At 42.0% G+C, this 19,462-nt stretch overlaps 1 protein-coding gene and 2 pseudogenes across 16 annotated transcripts in view; 1 reads left to right on the top strand and 2 right to left on the bottom strand.

The window, feature by feature from the left end:
* TEX56P (testis expressed 56, pseudogene) overlaps positions 1-8,136 on the bottom strand; it is a 51,557-nt pseudogene extending 43,421 nt beyond the window's left edge. For all 4 annotated transcript variants that reach the window (NR_104463.3, NR_172627.1, NR_104464.3 and 1 more), the window contains exon 1: positions 7,665-8,136. The product of NR_104463.3 is annotated as a testis expressed 56, pseudogene, transcript variant 2 (transcript). The remainder of the gene's footprint in view (positions 1-7,664) is intronic.
* FAM217A (family with sequence similarity 217 member A) lies at positions 4-18,978 on the top strand. 12 transcript variants are annotated; one of them, NM_173563.3, is made up of 7 exons: positions 8,208-8,493; positions 9,897-9,990; positions 12,684-12,768; positions 12,889-12,902; positions 13,838-13,912; positions 14,003-14,070; positions 17,425-18,978. In NM_173563.3, the coding sequence occupies exons 2-7, from the start codon at positions 9,931-9,933 to the stop codon at positions 18,647-18,649; spliced, it is 1,527 nt and encodes a 508-aa protein (NP_775834.2). In that variant the 5' UTR covers positions 8,208-8,493; positions 9,897-9,930; the 3' UTR covers positions 18,650-18,978. The 12 variants fall into 12 exon arrangements, with proteins under 12 accessions (XP_011512717.1, XP_016865971.1, NP_775834.2 ...); XM_047418385.1 differs by lacking the exon at positions 9,897-9,990; XM_005248951.5 differs by lacking the exon at positions 12,889-12,902.
* On the bottom strand, positions 10,866-10,956 carry LOC124901553 (uncharacterized; annotated as a pseudogene).
* Positions 18,979-19,462: the final 484 nt, after the last annotated feature.

The following is a 19,462-nucleotide window of genomic DNA, read 5'->3' as shown; positions in this document are numbered from 1 at the left end:
ATTTTCAAAGCAGAGAAAACCAGCCCATTGAAAATATCCTGCCAAGTCATTTGGGGATTTGTGGCAGAAACTCCAGTCTTGCGTCTGGACATGGACCATTTCTGGGGAAAACTGAGAGCTTTGCTAAAAGGAAGAGGGGAAAGCGGGGGCGCGCGTATCCAGTGGTATTTTCCCATCTGGTACTTTGTAGAAGCCTTGCTCCCAGTATGTACCTAATTAAGGCTCCACAGACCTACGAGGCCCCAAGAGAGAGTGGTTACATCAGTGCAGTCCTCAGCAGAACTGAGGAAAGAGCTTCATCGTCCAAAACTGAGGAAATGCCCAGATTAACACAGGTAAGAAGCCAAACTAGTTACTCCTTATGTTCTTATCCAAACTAATACCAAGAAAACAAAGTAAACAAATGCTCAACCGGAGCCTTCCCGGTAAGAAGCCATTCTTCATTGCAGACCAAAAAGCAGAAAACAATAGAAGTATTAAATAATCTTAAATCACCACACTTGATAGCACAGTCCAGAGCAAGACAGAAGCTGCCAAGAACTAGTATCAGATTTGGAACAAAAATGCAAATAATAGAGTTTGTTACAGCTACTTTTAGATTTCAGCATGCTCTACCAGGAGCCAGGTTCCCCATAATTGCTCTACTCTTCATGAACCACCTAGAGAGCCACACTGCAGGCTGGTGAGAAGCAGAGAAGGCGTGTGAGCCTAGTATGCTATGGCAAATCTGGGAGCGTGGGCTAGCTTTTCACCAACCTTAAAAACCTTTGGCTAAGACTATTAAAGCATCATGATTATACCATATGATACATTAGTGGCCAGAGTGGCAGATATAAAATTCCATTCATATATGCATATATATAGATAGATGGATTTTTTTTTTTTTTTTTTTTTTTTTGAGACAGAGTTTTGCTCTTGTTGCCCAGGCAGGAGTGTAATGGCGTGATCTCGGCTCACTGCAACCTCTGCCTCCCTAGTTCAAGCGATTCTCCTGCCTTGGCCTCCTGAGTAGCTGGGAGTACAGGCATGCGCCACCATGCCCAGCTAATTTTGTATTTTTAGTAGAGACAAAGTTTCTCCATGTTGGTCAGGCTGGTCTTGAACTCCTGACCTCAGGTGAGCCACCCACCTCGGCCTCCCAAAGTGCTGGGTTTACAGGTGTGAGCCACCTCGCCTAGCTTTCTTTCTTTTCTCTTTTTTCCTTTTTTCCCTTCCTTCCCTTCCTTCCTTTTTTCTTTCTTTTTGAGACAGAATTTTGCTCTGTGGCCCAGGCTGCAGTGCAGCTCACTGTAGCCTCGACCTCCTGGGCTCAAGCAATCCTCCCACCTCAGCATCACAAGTAGCTGAGTCTATAGGTGTGCATCACTACGCCCAGCTAATTTTTGTTATTTTTCTTTTGTAGAGACAGGGTCTCGCTATGTTACCCTGGCTGGTCTCAAACTCCTGACCTCAAGCAATCCTCTTGCCTCGGCCTCCCAGACTGCTGTGATTACAAGCGCAAGCCACTATGTCTGGCCTATTCCTTTTCTTAACTTTCAACTTGCAAACTCAAAAAGTAAAACTTAAAAAAAAATACTTTAAATGCAAGTACATATTTAAAATATGTTATATAACTAACAAGAACCACTTGAATTCAATGTGATTCTCATAATTTTACAGGTGTTTTTGGTGGGGAGAAGGGGGTAGAATATTCTGGCAGCCGGAAGACATATCCCCAGCTTCTTTCTTCCAGGCAAAGTTGAGTGCATTCCTCTAAACCTTCATTTATATAAATAGTAAAGAACAAACCATGTTTTAAGCCATTCAACATGCCAAGGAAGTGATCTACTAAAATGTAATTCTTTATACTTCATGTAAATTGACTCATATGTTCTTAGTCATTGCTCTCAATAGCAACTGATGAATGTTTATAGTTATCTGATGCATGCTGACTTTGGTTGAAATCTGAAGTAGGTCACAATTATTAAATTTTGTTTTTAAATAAACTATCAGATGGATATATATTTTTACATATTTTATATATATATATATATTTTTTTTTACAATGAATAACACTTCTAGGAATCAATCTCATTCATTTTCTCTAATTATAGTGTAATTAAAGAACACTGTTTAGGATGGGAAAGACCCGTCATGAATGACGCCTGGCAAATATTCTGCTGCTAACCAGCTGTGTGATCTTGATCTGAGCCAACCAGGTCTCAGCCCATGGTGCTAATATTCTTGGATGGAACAAATGCTTTCATTGTGTATTTTGTTTTGTATTCCTCTGATTTCCAATTCTATTATTCAGTGTATAATATATTTACCTTTTCAAAACTGGGCTTCTAACATATTATTTTCTCGCAAGTTTTTTCTTGTTGTGATGAGAGCTGCTATGCCGGGCAGCAGCCCACGTAGGTGCCAGCAGTGTATTATTAACTAAAATTGATCCCGCAGCGCAGCAGCTGCATGACTCTGGGTTGTTTTTCTAGTTAGGCTGATCTTTTATTCATGACTTTTAGGTAAATGCAATTCCTTTTTCTGTTCCTAAGAGGGTTGCTGTGTCTCCTGAATACCTTCTTCTTCCCCCTCGCCATGGTGGGTGTGACAAGATCAGCTGGCTTCCAGAAGGCAAGGTGTTCAGTAATGTTCACAGAGAGAAGATTAGCTCCAAGTTTTTTAAGGAAAGCATTCTAAAGAAAGTGTTCTGTTCACAACAAATGAGGTGGGAGGGGTCTGACGACCAGAAAGGGACTTCAAGTTACACCTTTCCTGGCACCAGAAAGTAAGTTCTGACACTGAGACTTTAACCAAAATTTAAAGTGAATTTGTGATATAAGGCTAGGAAAATAGAGTTACAGAGTATAGGCATCTGAAAAACAGAAAGGCTTATGAAGCAATTCAAATTGCAGAAATCAAGTCTTAAATCAAAATAAAGGAGAAAATATATGATTGAGAATGTATTCAAAAGCACTAGCTGCAACATACGCAGATGTGAAATTCAGTGATTGATGTGTTTATTTTGCTTCCTTTTGGAAATATGTTAATATACATCACTATCACACGTTCCAGGAATAGTTTTTAAACAATATTTCTTATCTATTTGCAACAAAACAATGGCCTCCCAAATAGGACATTGCTATGGGAGCAGAGTGTTAAAGGTTAATTTTTAAAACTTCAAATTAGAAATATTTGCATATATATTTCTTAAAAAGGAATTATACAAACACAAGAAAGTATATTTAAGATGAATGCTCATAGAATAGAGTTCTAAATCAGGATAAATTAGCCACTACTGAAAGACAAAGCAGTTCTCAAAAAGGAAAAACAAAAATAAGACCAGATCGCTAAACCATATGCTAAATACAGATTGCCCATAATTGAAATGAAATGTTTCCCACTGACTTAGCATCTTATTTGAGAACAAAAATGCATATTATTATTTAGAAAATAGTGTCCTAACTTTCAGAAAATGTTACATAATTATATTGAACAAGATTCTGCTGTAGGCTGGGGCACAGTGGCTCACAGCTGTAATCCTAGCACTCTGAGAGGCCGACACGGGTGGACCACCTGAGGTCAGGAGTTTGAGACCAGCCTGACCAATATGGTGAAACCTCGTCTCTACTATAAATACAAAAAAATTAGCCAGGCGTGGTGGCATGCGCCTGTAGTCCCAGCAACTTGGGAGACTGAGACAGGAGAAGTACTTGAACCTGGGAGACAGAGGTTGCAGTGAGCTGAGAATGTGCCATTGCACTCCACCCTGGGCAACAGAGTGGGACTCTGTCTCAAAAAAAAAAAAGAAAAGAAAAGAAAAGAAAGAAACAAAAAGATTCTGCTGTACGTGACCAGCCATGACCTTGGCAATTCTAAAGGGAAAAACAAAGGAAGATGAGGACAAATGCATGGGTAATATCAAAAGGTGAAAGATACTGAAGGAGGTAGACTGAAATAGAAGGCTTTTCCCTCCAGAATAATTAGAAACTAAGTAATGTTGCTACTGACATATCTTTGCATAATTCAGGACAATGAAAAGGAATGTTATCTCAAGGTGCTTTCCAAAGTAGTTACGTGGTAGTCAGTGTCATCGCCTTTGTTATAGGAGGAGAAACTGAGGTGGGCAGCAAGCTGTGCTTACTGGACTACTAAGTGACTGGCCCAAGGCTTGCCTTTGTTTCCTTAGCCTGCCTCCCTTGTAATTAACGTAAGAGCTTGCTAAATGCCTGAAATAGAGAGCATCTGCCTCATCCTACTGTGTTTATGAAACAATGGTTTCACTCAGGATCAGCTAAAGAGGTGCAGATTTAAAGTAAGGCAAGCTGAGGCTACCACTAAAATCTGAATCCTGGGCATGGCCATGAGATGGCTGGAGGTGTAGGGGCCAAGGGTTTGGCCCTCTGAAGATTTGCTGAAAAATCAAAATTAGCCAGGCGTGGTGGCCTGCACCTGTAGTCCCAGCAACTTGGGAGGCTGAGACAGGAGAAGTACTCAAGTACAAAAGGCAGAGTAATTGGGGAAAAGGCATACACGTTTATTTAGCATGTGTTTATACATGGGAGTGTACAGAATGAAAACTCAGAAATACAGGGGAGAGTTTCCATTTTTATGCTTAGGTTCAACAAAGTATGGACAGCTGTGTAGAAATACGATAGGACAAAAAAGGTCTGATCTAACGCTAACAGCCTGAGTGGGGGAACCCAGCAAGGCCTGTCTCTCTAGATTCTTCTTGGCCTCTCTGAGCAGCATTCCTTCCTTCTGGGTATGGGCCACTCTCTGGAATGGGGGTCAGATAATTTCTTTATGGCCAGTTTTTACACAGAAAGGCAAAGGGAAAATTGGAGTAATATTTTTAGGTTTTATGGCTGGCTTTGGGAAAAAAGCATTCTGATTTCTGTAACCTGCATTGGAGAAGAGGGATTCTAGTTTCTCAGGCTAGCCTCGGAGGGAGACTGGGACTGAGAGACAGGAGGGCAGAAGAAGGTCAGAGAAAAACGTGTTTCTGAGGCTATTTCCGAAGCCTTCATTTTGGGGTACTGTTTTCCGAGCCCCAACAGAAGGAAGGTGCATTTTCTTTGGCCTTGGGATTGATGTTGAGCTGGGTCTGAGCTGCTGTAGAAAATGACCCACTGTCCAACCTCCTACGCTGGGCCAGAGCCAGACCAGACCCAAGGGTTTGGAGAGGGCACAATTTCCAAGTTGTCGCTTTCATATTTCACATCTCCACAGCCGTGCACATTTAGCAATGAGGGAATGGCCAGCCATGATTTTGATGCTGATGTCAAAGCATTCAAAAGTCTCCAGAGAAAGGAAGACCAGTTGAGTGGGGGTGATAATATGAAAGGAACATTTTTAAGAATAAGTTCTGTTAAGAAAAAAAAAGAATCTTAGAGGATGTATTTATGGATGACAAATCTCACAAGGACTCTAAGGGATCAGGAATCAGTTTGAGTTCTGAAATAACAGAAAAAGGCATGAACAGAAACACAAAGCAAGGAAGAGGGGAAATGTGTAAGCCAGATATTTGGAATTTACACACACGTGTGCATGTGCACACACAAGCACACATAATTTGTCTCAAGAGCGGGGAACATTTCCCAGCTAGATATACATTTGTAGAAAGCATTAGCTGGAAATACATGTACCCCAATATTTACTCCCATTCGCAATTTTTCTCGTAATTGTAAGGTGGAAAAGGTTATATAATACATCTAAGGCTCAGGTTACTCAATTATAAAATAGGAATAACTAGGCTGAGCTCAGAGACTCATGCCTGTAATTCCAGCACTTTGGGAGGCTGAGGCCAGCAGATCACCTGAAGTCAGGAGTTCGAGACCAGCCTGGCCAACATGGCAAAACCCGTCTCTACTAAAAATACAAAAAATTAGCCGGGCGTGGTGGCTGGTGCCTGTAATCCCAGCTACTAGGGAACTAGGGAGGCTGAGGCAGGAGAATTGCTTGAACCTGGGAGGCAGAGGTTGCAGTGAGCCGAGATCACACGATTGCACTCTAGCCTGGGTGACAGAGCAAGACTCTGTCTCAAAAAAATAAATAAATAAAAATTAAAAATAAGAAATAAAATAGGAATAACTGGTGGTACCTGCTTCATTGGATTATCAGGCATATACATTGGTTAATCCATATAAAATGTTCAGCACTATGCCTGGCATATAGTCACCACACCATACATTTCAGAAAATACTATTTTTGCAATAATTAAATCAATTGAAACATTTATTGAGTGCCTTACCTACTACAGTACATGCCAGGCACTCTGTTAGATAGAATATGGGCAGATATCACCTTCAAGGTGTTGAAAAGAAAGTGATTGAGACGTTGTAAATGAATAATTACAATGTAACTGAGTAAGGGGCTGTAATTAAATCATTATAACGAAGCAAGGATCTTGGAGGAGACAGCAACTTTTGTTTTCTCTCCTTTTTTTTTTTTTGTATTTTTTCTAGTAATTACACTTCCTGAACAATCAGGAAAAATGACTTGTGAGTTAGAAGTGTAATGACTAGAATTTAGGCAGGTTAAAAAAGAAAAGGAGATAAAAAGGAGGTACTATTACAGGAAGAGTAACAATGATGTATGCCCTGGAGGAGAGTGTTTAGGAAAATTGTAAAATGTCCGATGTGCTTGACATGTAGTGGGCGCTGGGAAGGTGATGAGCAGATACCTAAGGGATGGCTGCAGAATTAGGGTTTCCTCCTTCCGGCATTAGGAGGCAGTTGAGCAGGTCTGTATTTTAGAGCAGCAGTATGGAAAACAGCCGAAGGAAGAGAGGGCCCTAGAAGGGAAACCTCCAAGGAGGCTGCAAGGAATGAGGCCTGCACAAATCTTGTTCGTTCACTTACATCGATTGTGCTTCTACCACTGTGCTTCTACTATGTGCCCAGCACAGTTTTAAAGGGTTGGGGATACAGAAATGAACTAGACAGACAAGGCCCCGGCCCACATGGAGTTTGATATTCTACTGGGGAGAGACAGACAATACAAAAACAAACAAGTAAACAGCAAGATTATGAGGAGTACAAAGAAGTAAATAACAACGGGGTGTCATGAAATAGAGTAAGGTAGGTGGAAGGTGGGAAGAGCTTCTTTAAAGGGAAGGTCTTTCTGAGGAGAAAATGGAAATGCAGAGGAAAGAGTCAGGAGTCAGGGATCAAAGAACCTGAGAAACCCCTGACATTGTTTTCAACATGTGGTATATAAGTGCATTTTTATGGGGAGATTCTCAGAGGGACATGGCCGTGATCTCATCCCCCCAAATGTTTAGTATTCATTTGCTGTACCTAAATATATAATTAATTTTGTTTTAAATTTTTCTCTATATCAAAAGGTGGGGGTGATGATAGCTATGCAGATATATCTAACTAGATAGAGAGAGATTCTTCCCCCACCCCTCCACTTATTTCATGAAGCTGTAATAGGAGATATGCATTTCGGGGTACAAAATTGGGCTGTGTGATTTACATGTATCCTCTACATGAAAAAAGAAAAAAAATCATCTTTTGTTTTTCCTATTGAAAGGCCGACGACGGACCTGAAACTGACCGGATGAGCTTGGTGTCAACAAGGATGCCTCTTCTTCTATGTTAATATATTGTACAAGCATAGATATAACTTCACATGTATCAATGCGTATATATTGTAGCTTAGTCTGGAGGACTACGTACCGGGCGGTGCTCCTGGCTTGATGTGAGCAGGCGGTGGGAATGGAGGGTGGAGGCGGGTGGGCCGGGCCCCGGGTCCCAGAGGCCCACTGGCCATGTCGCGGAGAGCTCAGCCTGGAGAGGCCCAGGGAAGGGCCTGGAGGCCTCGGGGAAGGCCTGGGGAGGGTCAAGGAAGCCCGAGGAGGCCCAGGAAGGCCGAAGAAGGTCCAGGACGCCTGGGGGAAAGTCCGAGAAGGCCCGAGAAGGCCCGGGAGGCTCAGGCTTTCCCGCGAGGCCGGGGGCGGCCCCTTCAGGCCAGGATGGCCGAGTGGGCTGCGCAGCCCCGCGGGGGAGGCCGGGCGGGGCGCAGGGACAGGGCCTGAGGCTTGTTGTCCTCCCCTGGCGGCCCCGTGCGTCCCGCGGGCCCGGCGGCCGGGTGACCCCCGAGAGGCTCCGCGCCTGGGCGGCCGGCGGCGACCCCGCGGCCCGCGAATACGCGTGGACCTTGTGGAACGCCGGGCCTCCCCGGGCGCCCCCGCTCTCTGGTAGTTGCCGGGAGACCCGGCCGGTGGGGAAGCCCGCGGAGCCGCAGCCCCGGCCCCGGAAGGTCTCTCTGGGCCCCGGGCCCGACTCCCACCCCTGCGCCGGCCCGCGGGCTTCGCAGGCCCTGCACTGCCGACCGGGCTGCGCTCAAGGCCGCCAGCCGCCCGCCGCCCTCTTTGTCCCCCCGCTGCAGGAAGGCCGCGGCAGAGGGGGCGCCCTCCAAGCCGTCAGCCACGCACGCGGAGGCGCTCGGGCCTCGGGGCGGCGCACCGGGAGAGCACGCCGGGGAGGACACGTGGGCCTTCGCGCGGTGGGTTGAGAGCCCCGGCCCCGGGGAATCCCGCAGCCCCCTCCTGCTACCCCTGGAACTGGGCTCCCCACCCAGTCCGGCCACAGCTCAGGAGGAAAAGGGGATTCCTCTTCACGGGGGCCTTGCGGCTCCCTTGAGACACGCGCCTTCAAGCACTCTGGCCCCTAAAGCTCCTGTCCCCCAACTCGCAGTCCCCAAGGCGTCCTTTGTCCCCAGGGCCGTCCTTCAGGTGCGGTGGCCTTTTCCAGGAGCTGGATGCCCTCCTTCTTGACACACACCCGGTGGCCCCAGGCAGCGCCACCTGCTCAGCAACCGCCTTCCTCCTGCATTCAGACCTAGTGTCTGGCATGCACACACTCGTGGACCAATAACCGGTGTTGGCTGAAAACCTACCTAAACTAAATCTCCTATTTCTTCATACACTTTTCTGTAGGAGACAATCAATTGTAAACGATTAGCAGATAGACCGATTACTGCGGTGGCTTTAATTTGTGATTCTTGGCCGGGTGCAGTGGATCACGCCTGTAATCCCAGCACTTTGGGAGACTGAGGCAGGTGGATCACGAGGTCAGGAGTTCAAGACCAGCCTGGCCAACATGGTGAAACCCCATCTCTACTAAAAATATAAAAATTAGCTGGGCGTAGTGGTGCTCGCCTGTAATCCCAGCTGCTCGGGAGGCTGAGGCAGGAGAATCGCTTGAACCCGGGAGGCGGAGGTTGCAGTGAACCGAGATCGCGCCACTGCACTCCAGTCTGGGCAACAGAGCGAGACTCTGTCTCAAAAAAAAAAAAAAAAAAAAAAGTGATTCTTTCCAGATAGCCATACCTTAATCCAGTGACTGTTTTGCTTGTTACCTTAGAGTTCTCTAATTCTTTTACCTTAAACGGCAGTGGGTTAAAACCCTTTAGGTACCTTGATTGATTGGTGCGGAAAATATTGTTTGGTCCTGGGGGCATTTTGTTGTCTCCGAAATATGCACGGGGTGCTTGCCTGGCCTAGTTGTAAGGGTTCAACCCTGCTTTCAAATGGAGCAATTGTTTTGAATGAATAAAAGGAGACTTTGTGCCCCTGTTTTCTAAGTTCCAGATAATTCACCATAGTTTGTTCCAATGTGTATTTCATCTTCTTAGCTGATATTTGCTTTCTCACCTCTGATCTCAATTTCCTAATCTTCTGTTCTGAGATCTGCCAGTTTGCTGTTGTCTGTGCTCCTTTTGAGTCAGGCTTGCCCCTTGCTTCTGGTTGGTTTCGTACTGTCACCCCCACCCTGCTCTCCTAGCCCCTCTCTTCTGCTTTCTAAGCATTCTCTTACCTCCTTTAGATGGGAAATCAAAACTCACACTTTCTTTTTTATAAATGTTGACCCTTACCCATAAATGTGCCTATCCCGCAATCTGTGTAGGATTTTAAGGAAACAGAGCAACAGCTACAACAAAATGGGGAGAAGAAATGAGAACTGTGCTAACAGCCTACGTGTGTCAAACATCTCTCAGGAGGTATGGCAGGCGCTGTTGAACTTGAGTGTTTGGGCAGCGGCTCCTGTTGCTAACACGTAACTCCCATGGAGTTTTCTTGTAGTGATGCCCTTGCTGCGTTTGCATCGTGGGCAGTTTATCCTGTGTTTTCCTTTTGGCACATTTGGAACAGCAAATGGAAATTTTCTATTTCTTTTAACAAAGGGAAAATTAGCCAGCTCTTCTCCAAATGTCAAACATTTCTAATTGCAATTTGGCTTTGTTAAAGGTGCTGCCTTGTTATCAACCAGGCAGTGCTCACTTCTTTTGTTTTCACACACACACCCTTTGTGAAAAATATTGGTAAGGCAGGTGGGATATCACAAAGCATAATCAAGTCCCAACTCTTAAGAAATTTGCAAACTGTCAGACTTCATGTTTAGTTAATGAGCATTCTTTACCAGTTGATCAATTTGGTTATGTTAATTTTTTGTTGTTTTGGTGTTTTTTGTTTGTTTGTTTTGGAGACGAGACTTAGTCTTCCTCTGTCTCCCAGGCTGGAGTGCTGTGGCACGATCTCAACTCACTATAACCCCCACCTCCCGGGTTCAAGCGATTCTCCTGCCTCAGCCTCCCGAGTAGCTGGGACTACAGGCATGTGCCACCACGCCCGGCTAATTTTTGTATTTTTAGTAGCGACATGTTGGCCAGGCTGGTCTTGAACTCCTGACCTCAAGTGATCCACCCGCCTTGGCTTTCCAAAGTGCTGGGATTACAGGTGTGAGCTACCATGCCTGGCCTGGTTTCATTAATTTTATTTTAGAATTGCAACAACACAGTTTCATCAGCTGAGGATATTTCTCTCACGTGCATTTCATACAAAAGTATCAGGATTATATAGCTGAAAAAAGCTTAAAAATCCACCAGACATCGTAAAAAAGTCTGAAGGGGTGCATCTCACACATGAACATAAAAACCCAGTCATCGTGCTGTGAACTACAAAAGGATCTTTAAAATACAAATAACTGGGCCTCACCCTCATTCTTTTTTTTTTTTTTCTTTTTTTTTGAGACGGAGTCTCACTCTGTCACCCAGGGTGGAGTGCAGTGGTGCTATCGTGGCTCACTGCAACTTCTGCGTCTCGGATTCAAGTGATTCTCCTGCCTCAGCCTCCCAAGTAGCTGGGATTACAGGCACCCACCACCACGCCCAGCTAATTTTTGTATTTTTAGTAGAAATGGGGTTTCGACATGTTGGCCAGGCTGGTCTAGAGCTCCTGACTTGAGGTGATCTGCCCGCCTCGGCCTCCCAAAATGCTGGGATTACTGCCACTTGAGCCACTGCGCCCGGCCCTCACCCTCATTCTTTAAAATCAGGATTTGCAGCATTTTTTTGCAACTATTATTTTTAAAAAGCTCCCCAGGTGATTCTCATGTAGAGATTAGCCCTTGTACATATCATGCCAGAGAGCAGAGAATTAATTTTATTAATTATATTTTTCATAAATCTATAGAGAATGATAATCTGCAGTCTCCCTTCCAATGTTCAACTACCCTTCCTATCAGGAGATATCTCTTTGTGGATAAATTAATCCTCATGCTGTATTGAAGCTTATTTCTCTCTGTTCCTCCTTAGTGAAGAGATTGTATCTAATAATACCTCACATTTCATTTGCTTAGAGTTTAATTTACAATGCTTTTTTGAGACAGAAAACAATTGGGTTCATTCCTAAAAAGTTACTTTCTTATAAACGAATCACCTCTTCACTTTCTGTTTTCCAGAATAAATTGTTATAATCTTCTACACACCTCCCACATTTTCCCCCATAGCACTCTGCACAATGTCTGGAACATAAATACTCAGTTGTTATTAGCACCTTTCCCGTTTTATTTTTGGCTTTCTTTTGAATATTTCCTAAGTGTTCCTCCACATCTGGAAGCCAGAATGAGTAGTGGGCTGGTTAGTGTTGAATATAATATGAGGGTTAGAGACTTCCTGTGGTTGATGGAAAGATTTTTACAGGCTTTTATTTTTTTAATTTTATTTATTTATGTATGTATTTTGAGACAGAGTCTCACTCTGTGGCCCAGGCTGGAGTGCAGTGGTGTGATTGCAGCTCACTGCAACCTCCACCTCCTGGGTTCAAGCGATTCTCCTGCCTCAGCCTCCCGAACAGCTGGGATTACAGGTGCGTGCCGCCACACCTGGCTGATTTTTGTGTTTTTATTGGAGACAGGGTTTCACCATGTTGGCCAGGCTGGTCTCAAACTCCAGACCTCAGGTGATCCTGACCTGCCCCGGCCTCCCAAAGTGCTGGGAGTACAGGCATGAGCCACCACACCTGGCTTTTTATAGACTTTTAGATCTGATACTCAGATATAGAAAGTTTGATGAATGCACCATTGTGTTCCAGAGGCACACTGAACAGGACATTTTATTACATTTTAAAAATCAATTTTGAAAACCTGTGTTATTATATTTAACAAAATGTGAACGAAACCACAAATTATTGTAAAAGCCTGATTCCTCAACAATAGGCATTATCAAACTGATAAGGGCTTGGTTAAGAGAAAATTGCTTTCTCCTCAAAGATGCTGATAAGTTCTTTATAATGAGGGGTGAGAGTCATGAAGCTTTGTGCCTTTCGTCATACTTTACCCCAAGAACATGTGAAATTATTGAGCTTTTTATGTTTTCTTAATGTTAAGTTTATCCTAAAACAAATATTGTTTTAGAACTTATCTCACTGGAATTTGGATTCAGAAGTACCTGTTTCTGAAAATAAAAACCTCCCAGCTGGAAGGGATGGAGCAGCAGGTGGTAAGAAATCCTAGATGTGTATACTTATACTGAAAGAATCACTCATATTAAAAGGGGGTTTGTTTTGAATATAATCAGTTTTATGTAACTATTAATTGTCATTTTTTATACACATTTCAGGCAAAATTAACAAGGTAAGGATGAATGTTTGGTTTTAAGGTATTCATAAAACATACGATTTTAAAATAAGTATGTTCTTTAAAAAAATTTTCTTCCTGAAAGTTAAACTTTAAATTTCATTTCTGTAGAGTTCTTCACACAAGTCAAAGTCAAATATTTTAGAGTTTCAAGTTGGTTATTAAATGAATATTTTGTTATATTAAGTATTTTTCAGTATAACAATAATATAAATGAAAATTGAGTATAGTATTTTTTAGTCATTGCCGAAAGGGAAGTAGTCCTGTCCTTTAAAATGTCTTGAAGCAGGCCGGGTGCAGTGGCTCATGCCTGTAATCCCAGCACTTTAGGAGGCTGAGGCAAGTGGATCACTTGAGGTCAGGAGTTTGAGACCAGCCTGTGCAATATGGTGAAACCCCATCTCTACAAAAATACAAAAAAATTAGCCAGGCATGGTGGCACATAGCTGTAGTCCCAGCTACTCGAGAGGCTGAGCTCAGCAGGAGAATCGCTTGAGCCCGGGAAACAGAGGTTTCAGTGAGCCGAGTTCGTGCCCCCGTACTCCAGCCTGGGCAACAGAACGAGACCCTGTCTCAACAACAACAAAATGTCTTGAAGCAGTTGAAATGACCAATATCTTGTTCTGAAGTAGTGGAAAATTAATCTTTTTGTTTATCCTTTTTGATCAAAACATAAAACATTTCACTGCAAAATAAAGACAATCTTAATGATATTCAAGTCTTATTAGTTAACAGTTTAGTTGGTATTTATAATAAATAGGTTTTACTAATTTCTGCTGAAATCAGTAAAAACAAATGATTTCTTTGTATATAAACAAAGTGTCATTCAGTTTTACCATACATTCCTTGATTAGAACAAGAACTATACATTGTTAGAACAAGAATAGGGAACAGAGATATATTATGTTTAAAAGTCTTCTGCTGCCTTATAGAACTATTTGGAAATTCCAGTGGAGCAACTGATGCTAGAACCTAATTTGTCGGTGCATAGTCAAAAAAGTACACAGGTGGGATTTTATTCTTCATACCCTTAAAATATTATATTTTAAAAATATATGCAGCTACTAAACTATTACCCATTATTTTTCTGTCATCAGAATAGTAAACAAGGGATCTTTCAATTATGGAATTGTCCTCTTAATGAAGGAAGTACCATAGAGAAGAGGTAAGCGAGTAGTTATTTTGTAACACCCTAAATTACTGAAATAAATTTAGATACACATGAGATAACTATTTGAAATACAAGGACCATGAACAACCAGAAGAAAATAGTATTCTGTGGGAATAGTGGGCAATTGTAGAAGTCCACCCTAAAGCAGGAAGTGGCTGCAGATACCACGAGACAATTAGAATAGGTAGGAGTCAAGAGCTGACCATGTTCTGACAATGAAGGTTTTAGATGGATAAAGTATGGACTTCCTGTTGAAAGCAAAAGGAACTGTAATAGGAAAGTAGTATTGCATTCCAGGGACTATGTTAATTCCTTATATGTAGTAATTCATTTAAATCACAACCGACCATGTAAGGAAGGTAGTTATCATCCCTGTTTTGCAGATGAGGACACTGAGGCATGGTGACAAGTTAAGTAACTTGCTCAAAGTCACACAATATTAATGAAAGGGAGAGCCAGGATATGAAAGTAGCCTCTCAGACCTTACCTGAGGTTTTTTTTTTTTTGAGACGGAGTTTTGCTCTTGTTGCCCAGGCTGGAGTGCAAAGATGCAATCTCAGCTCATCACAACCTCTGCCTCCTGGGTTGAAGCAATTCTCCTGCCTCAGCCTCTGGAGTAACTGGGTTTACAGGCATGGGCCACCACGCCCAGCTAATTTTGTATTTTTAGTAGAGACGGGGTTTCTCCATGTTGGTCACGCTGGTCTCAAACTCCCGACCTCAGGTGATCCACCCACCTCGGCCTCCCAAAGTTCTGGGATTACAGGTGTGAGCCACCATGCCAGGCCGCTTTTTTTTTTTTAAATACTTTTTTAAGTTCTGGGAATACATGTGCAGAACTTGCAGGTTTGTTACATAGGTATACACGTGCCATGGTGGTTTGCTGCACCCAACCTTACCTGAGTTTTAATTCTTTTTTTGTGTGTGTGTGACAAAGTTTCACTCTTGTTGCCCATGCTGGAGTGCAATGGCACGATCTCAGCTCACTGCAACCTCTGCCTCCCAGGTTCAAGCAATTCTCTGCCTCAGCTGCCTGAGTAGCTAGGATTACAGGTGCCCGCCACCATGCCTGGCTAATTTTTGTATTTTTAGTAGAGATGGGGTTTTACCATCTTGGCCAGGCTGGTCTTGAACTCCTGACCTTGTGATTCACCCACCTCGTCCTCCCAAAGTGCTGGGATTACGGGCGTGAGCCACCGTGCCCGGCCCCTGAATGTTAATTCTTATTTTTTTGATTCTTAAACTTTATCGTGCATTAAGACTAGCTAGAAGGCTTCTTGGAAACACAGGTTACTAGTATTTGGAAATGAATGCTTTTTGAGGGCTGCTTTGTGGAGCTTTTACATAGTGTCTTAGCTCATGGATCCTGAGTTCCATGGCTCTTTTGTGTAGTTTATTTAGCAGGAGAGTGGTTCACTTGTTATCAGCCATCTCCTAGTCAGAGAATTTTACTTCTGTGAGGCCTGGGATACAGTTCACTTTATGTTAAAATTCAAGGGGGAAATCAAGTTCTATGGCAGTTGTGGTGACTGATGACCTAAAGGAATATTGGTGCTGATGGGGATAAGAAAGGCTATTTTTATGAGAAAAAACCTCAGCTGGGAAAAAGTATTTCAAGGTAAGTGGTCAAATGAAGTGAACTGAATTTTATGACAGTAGCAGAGGAGCAAACAAATGGAGGCGGTAGAATGCAGCGGTTAGGACCTGGGGCATAGGAGTCCACCACGTGCAGTTCCAGCTCTCCCACTTCCTAGATGTGTGCCCTCAGCCACTCTACACCCCCGTTCCCTTATCTGCAAAAGGTGGAAAATAAAAGTGCCTATCTCATGAGGCTGTGAGGACTAAACAGAACAATGTGTTTGGCAGGCATTTGCTATTAATATTGGGTAGGTTTAATAATGTTGCAGAGATGGAAGTTTGGTATCAATGAAAGATTTTTCTCCTCAATATACCATCAACAAATAAAAAGAATAAAAGTAACGATAACTTAGTGTTTAACATTTTGCAAAGCATATTCATATAAATTCTCTTGCTTCTCAGACTACCTCCAAGGTAGGTATTATCATTTCCATTTTGCTCACTCACTGGTAGCAAAGGGGTTCAAACCTAGGCCCTCCCTTTCCAGATTTCACACTCTTCATACTACATGTACGTGTCTATTAACAGTTGTAGATTTAAAGTGATTTTCCTGTGGTTTTTCAAAGGCAAAGCAGTATGCCTAGTATTTAGCTAAATTAGTATTTTTTTCTTTTTCTTTTTCTCTTTTTTTTTTTGCAACAGGGCCTCATTCTGTCACCCAGGCTGGGGTGTAGTGGTGCAGTCATGGCTTACTGCAGCCTCAACCTCTGAGGCTGAAGCAGTCTTCCCAACTCAGCCTCCAGAGGAGCAGGGACTACAGGTGCATGCCTCCATGCCCAGCTAATTTTTTGTAGACAAGAATTTTGCCATGTTGCTCAGGCTGGTCTCAGAATCCCAGGCACAAGCAACCCGCCTGCCTTGGCCTCCCAAAGTGTTGGGATTACAGGTGTGAGCCACTGTGCCTGGCCTCGAAAGTATTTTTCAAAACTTTTCCAGATTACTTTGTTATCTTTAATGTCAACTGGCTTAAAAAGAAACAAGAGGATATCAAGACTATATGTCAACTAATGCATCAAATCTTTTAATCTCAGTATTTCTAGTTATCTTTAAAAAACAAAAACTAACTAGAAACTCAGTATTCTATGGCTTTTTTGTAGTTTTCATTTTAACATAATACCTAGAATTACTCCTAAAATAGAAGAGCATCATTATATGAAAATTACTAGGGACTATATCTGGGATAATTTTTAATAGGTATTGTTTGCTTCCTTTTTTGTTACAGTAATTTTTAAAAACCACAGTGGCTAACATAGAAGGCTTTTTAAAGTAACCTAATTACATTTTTTGAGTTTCCTTTTATCTAATTCTGGATCAATAAACATTTCACTTTAATTTCAGTTTGAGTTAGATATCCTCATTTTCAAACATAATAATTGCATGTACACTATAGACAAACATATAGTTAGCCACTTTTAACCTTTGTCTATTCACAGCTACAGTTAGCCGTTTTAGGTGTCATAATCTAGTCACCTGTGCTTGCACAAAGGGATGCCCAGTTAATATTTTAATCTATATTTTTAAAATTTATGTAGTTGTATATTAGAGCATTTTTGGAAACTAACATATTTCTGTTGCAGGTAGCTAGATACACATATGCCATTGGGAACTAAACATTAACCAATCTTTGATAAAGGGTACTTAACTGTATCATTTTAATAGCATTTTAATTCTAGTCAATAAACCATTCATTAATTAAATTATTTTTTAAAGGGAATTCAAAAAATCTTCAGTGGAAACTGGCTTTAATGTAATCAATCATCCTATAAGGGTCTTCACTCTGAACCACCCATTAACAATTGCTTCAGTTGATAAGCAAGTTGGTCCTTACCCTGGACTGCCAATGCCATTAGGTCTCTGCTGGCCCTATGCTGATGGAGACTTTTTTAAGAACAGAAATGAGATTCATGTTAGTTCATGTTCAACTATAGAAAACAATGATGGTGAAACATTACCTGCTCCAAATTGGAATTTGAAACATGGAAACAGCAGTGTGGAAGAAAATTTCACAGATGAAAGTGATTTATCAGAAAATGAGAAGACAAATGATACTTTACTCAGCTATTTTAAAAAGGTGGACCTGAACTTGAAGCCAGAAACAATAAAAAATGTTGAGGAACCTTTCACCGAGGAGCCAAATGAAGTATTTCCATATCCTGATTTTCTCCCTCCTCCTTTCAGTGCTCTAGACTTGCACAATTTAGCCCTCTCCAAATCTGACAATTGGAAAGTGACAGTGGACCCTGCAGAAACCTCTGTTGAACACTTGATAACTCGTTTACTGGAACTAGAACGATTACAACATATGACTATTCAAAAAGAGAGGCCAAGACTACAAACGACTTTCTGTACTCCAGCAGTTACTGAACGACCCTCTTCCTCCAAAGCTACACCAAAAGTGAGACAGCCAAAACTTTGCGACTCTTTGAGTCTTCAGATACCTTGTGTAGATAAAAGTCAAGAAAAAAGTAAAAACAACTCTGGTTCTTGTAAGCTTGAACAAAATGCTTTAAAACGGAATTGGAGCAATGCTGGCAAATATAGATGGAATTCTAGACCACTGTCTCTAAAAAGTTCTTCCACCCCAAAACAATTGATTGAAACTTATGATAAGAATCCCAAAAGTTCTATTTTAAGTCCATGCCAAGAACTCTCATTCAAACCTACTATTGGCCATACAAATCAATCAATGGTTAAAATGGTCTCCACAAGATGTCTGCCATGGAGGTCTCCAATGCCAGTTTCACCTATACCTCTGACTTTTCCCGAAAATCAGAAGGAAGAAATTAAGGCACCGAAGAGAAACTTTGGGACCAAAAAGAAACTTTACCGACAAAATATAGTGTTGAATAGACCATTCTCTATTCAGAAGCTAAACTGTTTGTCGCCTTCCCTTATTGCTAAGGATAAGTGCTGCTCACCCATTGAACAAAAATAACTCTTTTCTTTCATACATCTCAATGTGAACACATCTACTCTAAGAAGCCCAACTAAGATATGGTTAATTATTCCAAGACACAGGTACTATTAACAGTCCCCCAAAATCACCAAACAGTTGCTTGATGTGATATGGAGTAGAACTTGTGAAAAGCACTGCTGAGATGTCTATATATAAACCCACAGGCTTCTATACTGACATATTTCACAATCTTTTGCATGTTGTGTTTCAAGTAAATGGTTCACTTGGTAGACTATTCTATTCAAAAGGCTACTCTTTTTTCAGTGATTGTTTTCCAGTATAATTCCATCAATAAATGGTATAATTGACTTATTGCAGCTGTAGTTCTTGTCATATAGTCATAAGAGTTGATTTTTTAAAAAGTCTTTCTCACTCTGGTATCATTTTTTTTTTCCTGTGCCCTCATCTCCACAGATCTATCATTTTGACCTATCCTTTGGGCATTTACTTGGCCCTTAAAAGCTAAAGAAGTTGTTGTTCTGTTAATGTACAAGATCCTCTAGATCCTCCTAGCTCCTCCCAAATCCTTAGAAATTTTCTGTCCCTGGCCTTTCTTTGTCATTTACATGAAAGATAGTTCTCTTTGGGGCCCAACTACAGGTTTAGGCTTGAAATAACCCTCTTCCACTCAGATCCAGTATTTTCTAAATGTTGAAGGAAAAATTGAGTAAGATCATTGTCCACAGAGCAGCCAAAATGTCATGTTACTAGAGTTTTTTCCAAGGCTCTGCACTGCTGGAAGTCTTAAGGCTGGTTAGTTGAAATTCATTCAGCCAACACATAACTCATTAA

Source organism: Homo sapiens, chromosome 6 (genome assembly GCF_000001405.40).
Source record: "Homo sapiens chromosome 6, GRCh38.p14 Primary Assembly".
Classification (NCBI taxonomy): domain Eukaryota; kingdom Metazoa; phylum Chordata; class Mammalia; order Primates; family Hominidae; genus Homo; species Homo sapiens.
This window is presented reverse-complemented; position numbering and strand designations above follow the sequence as displayed.

Coding starts and splice junctions, on each gene's coding strand:
- FAM217A (XM_017010480.3), top strand. CDS start 9,871: ATGTGCCTATCCCGCAATCTGTGTAGGATTTTAAGGAAACAGAGCAAC. Junction 9,991..12,683: donor TGTCAAACATCTCTCAGGAG/GTATGGCAGGCG, acceptor ATATTGTTTTAG/AACTTATCTCACTGGAATTT. Junction 14,071..17,424: donor GGAAGTACCATAGAGAAGAG/GTAAGCGAGTAG, acceptor TATTTTTTAAAG/GGAATTCAAAAAATCTTCAG.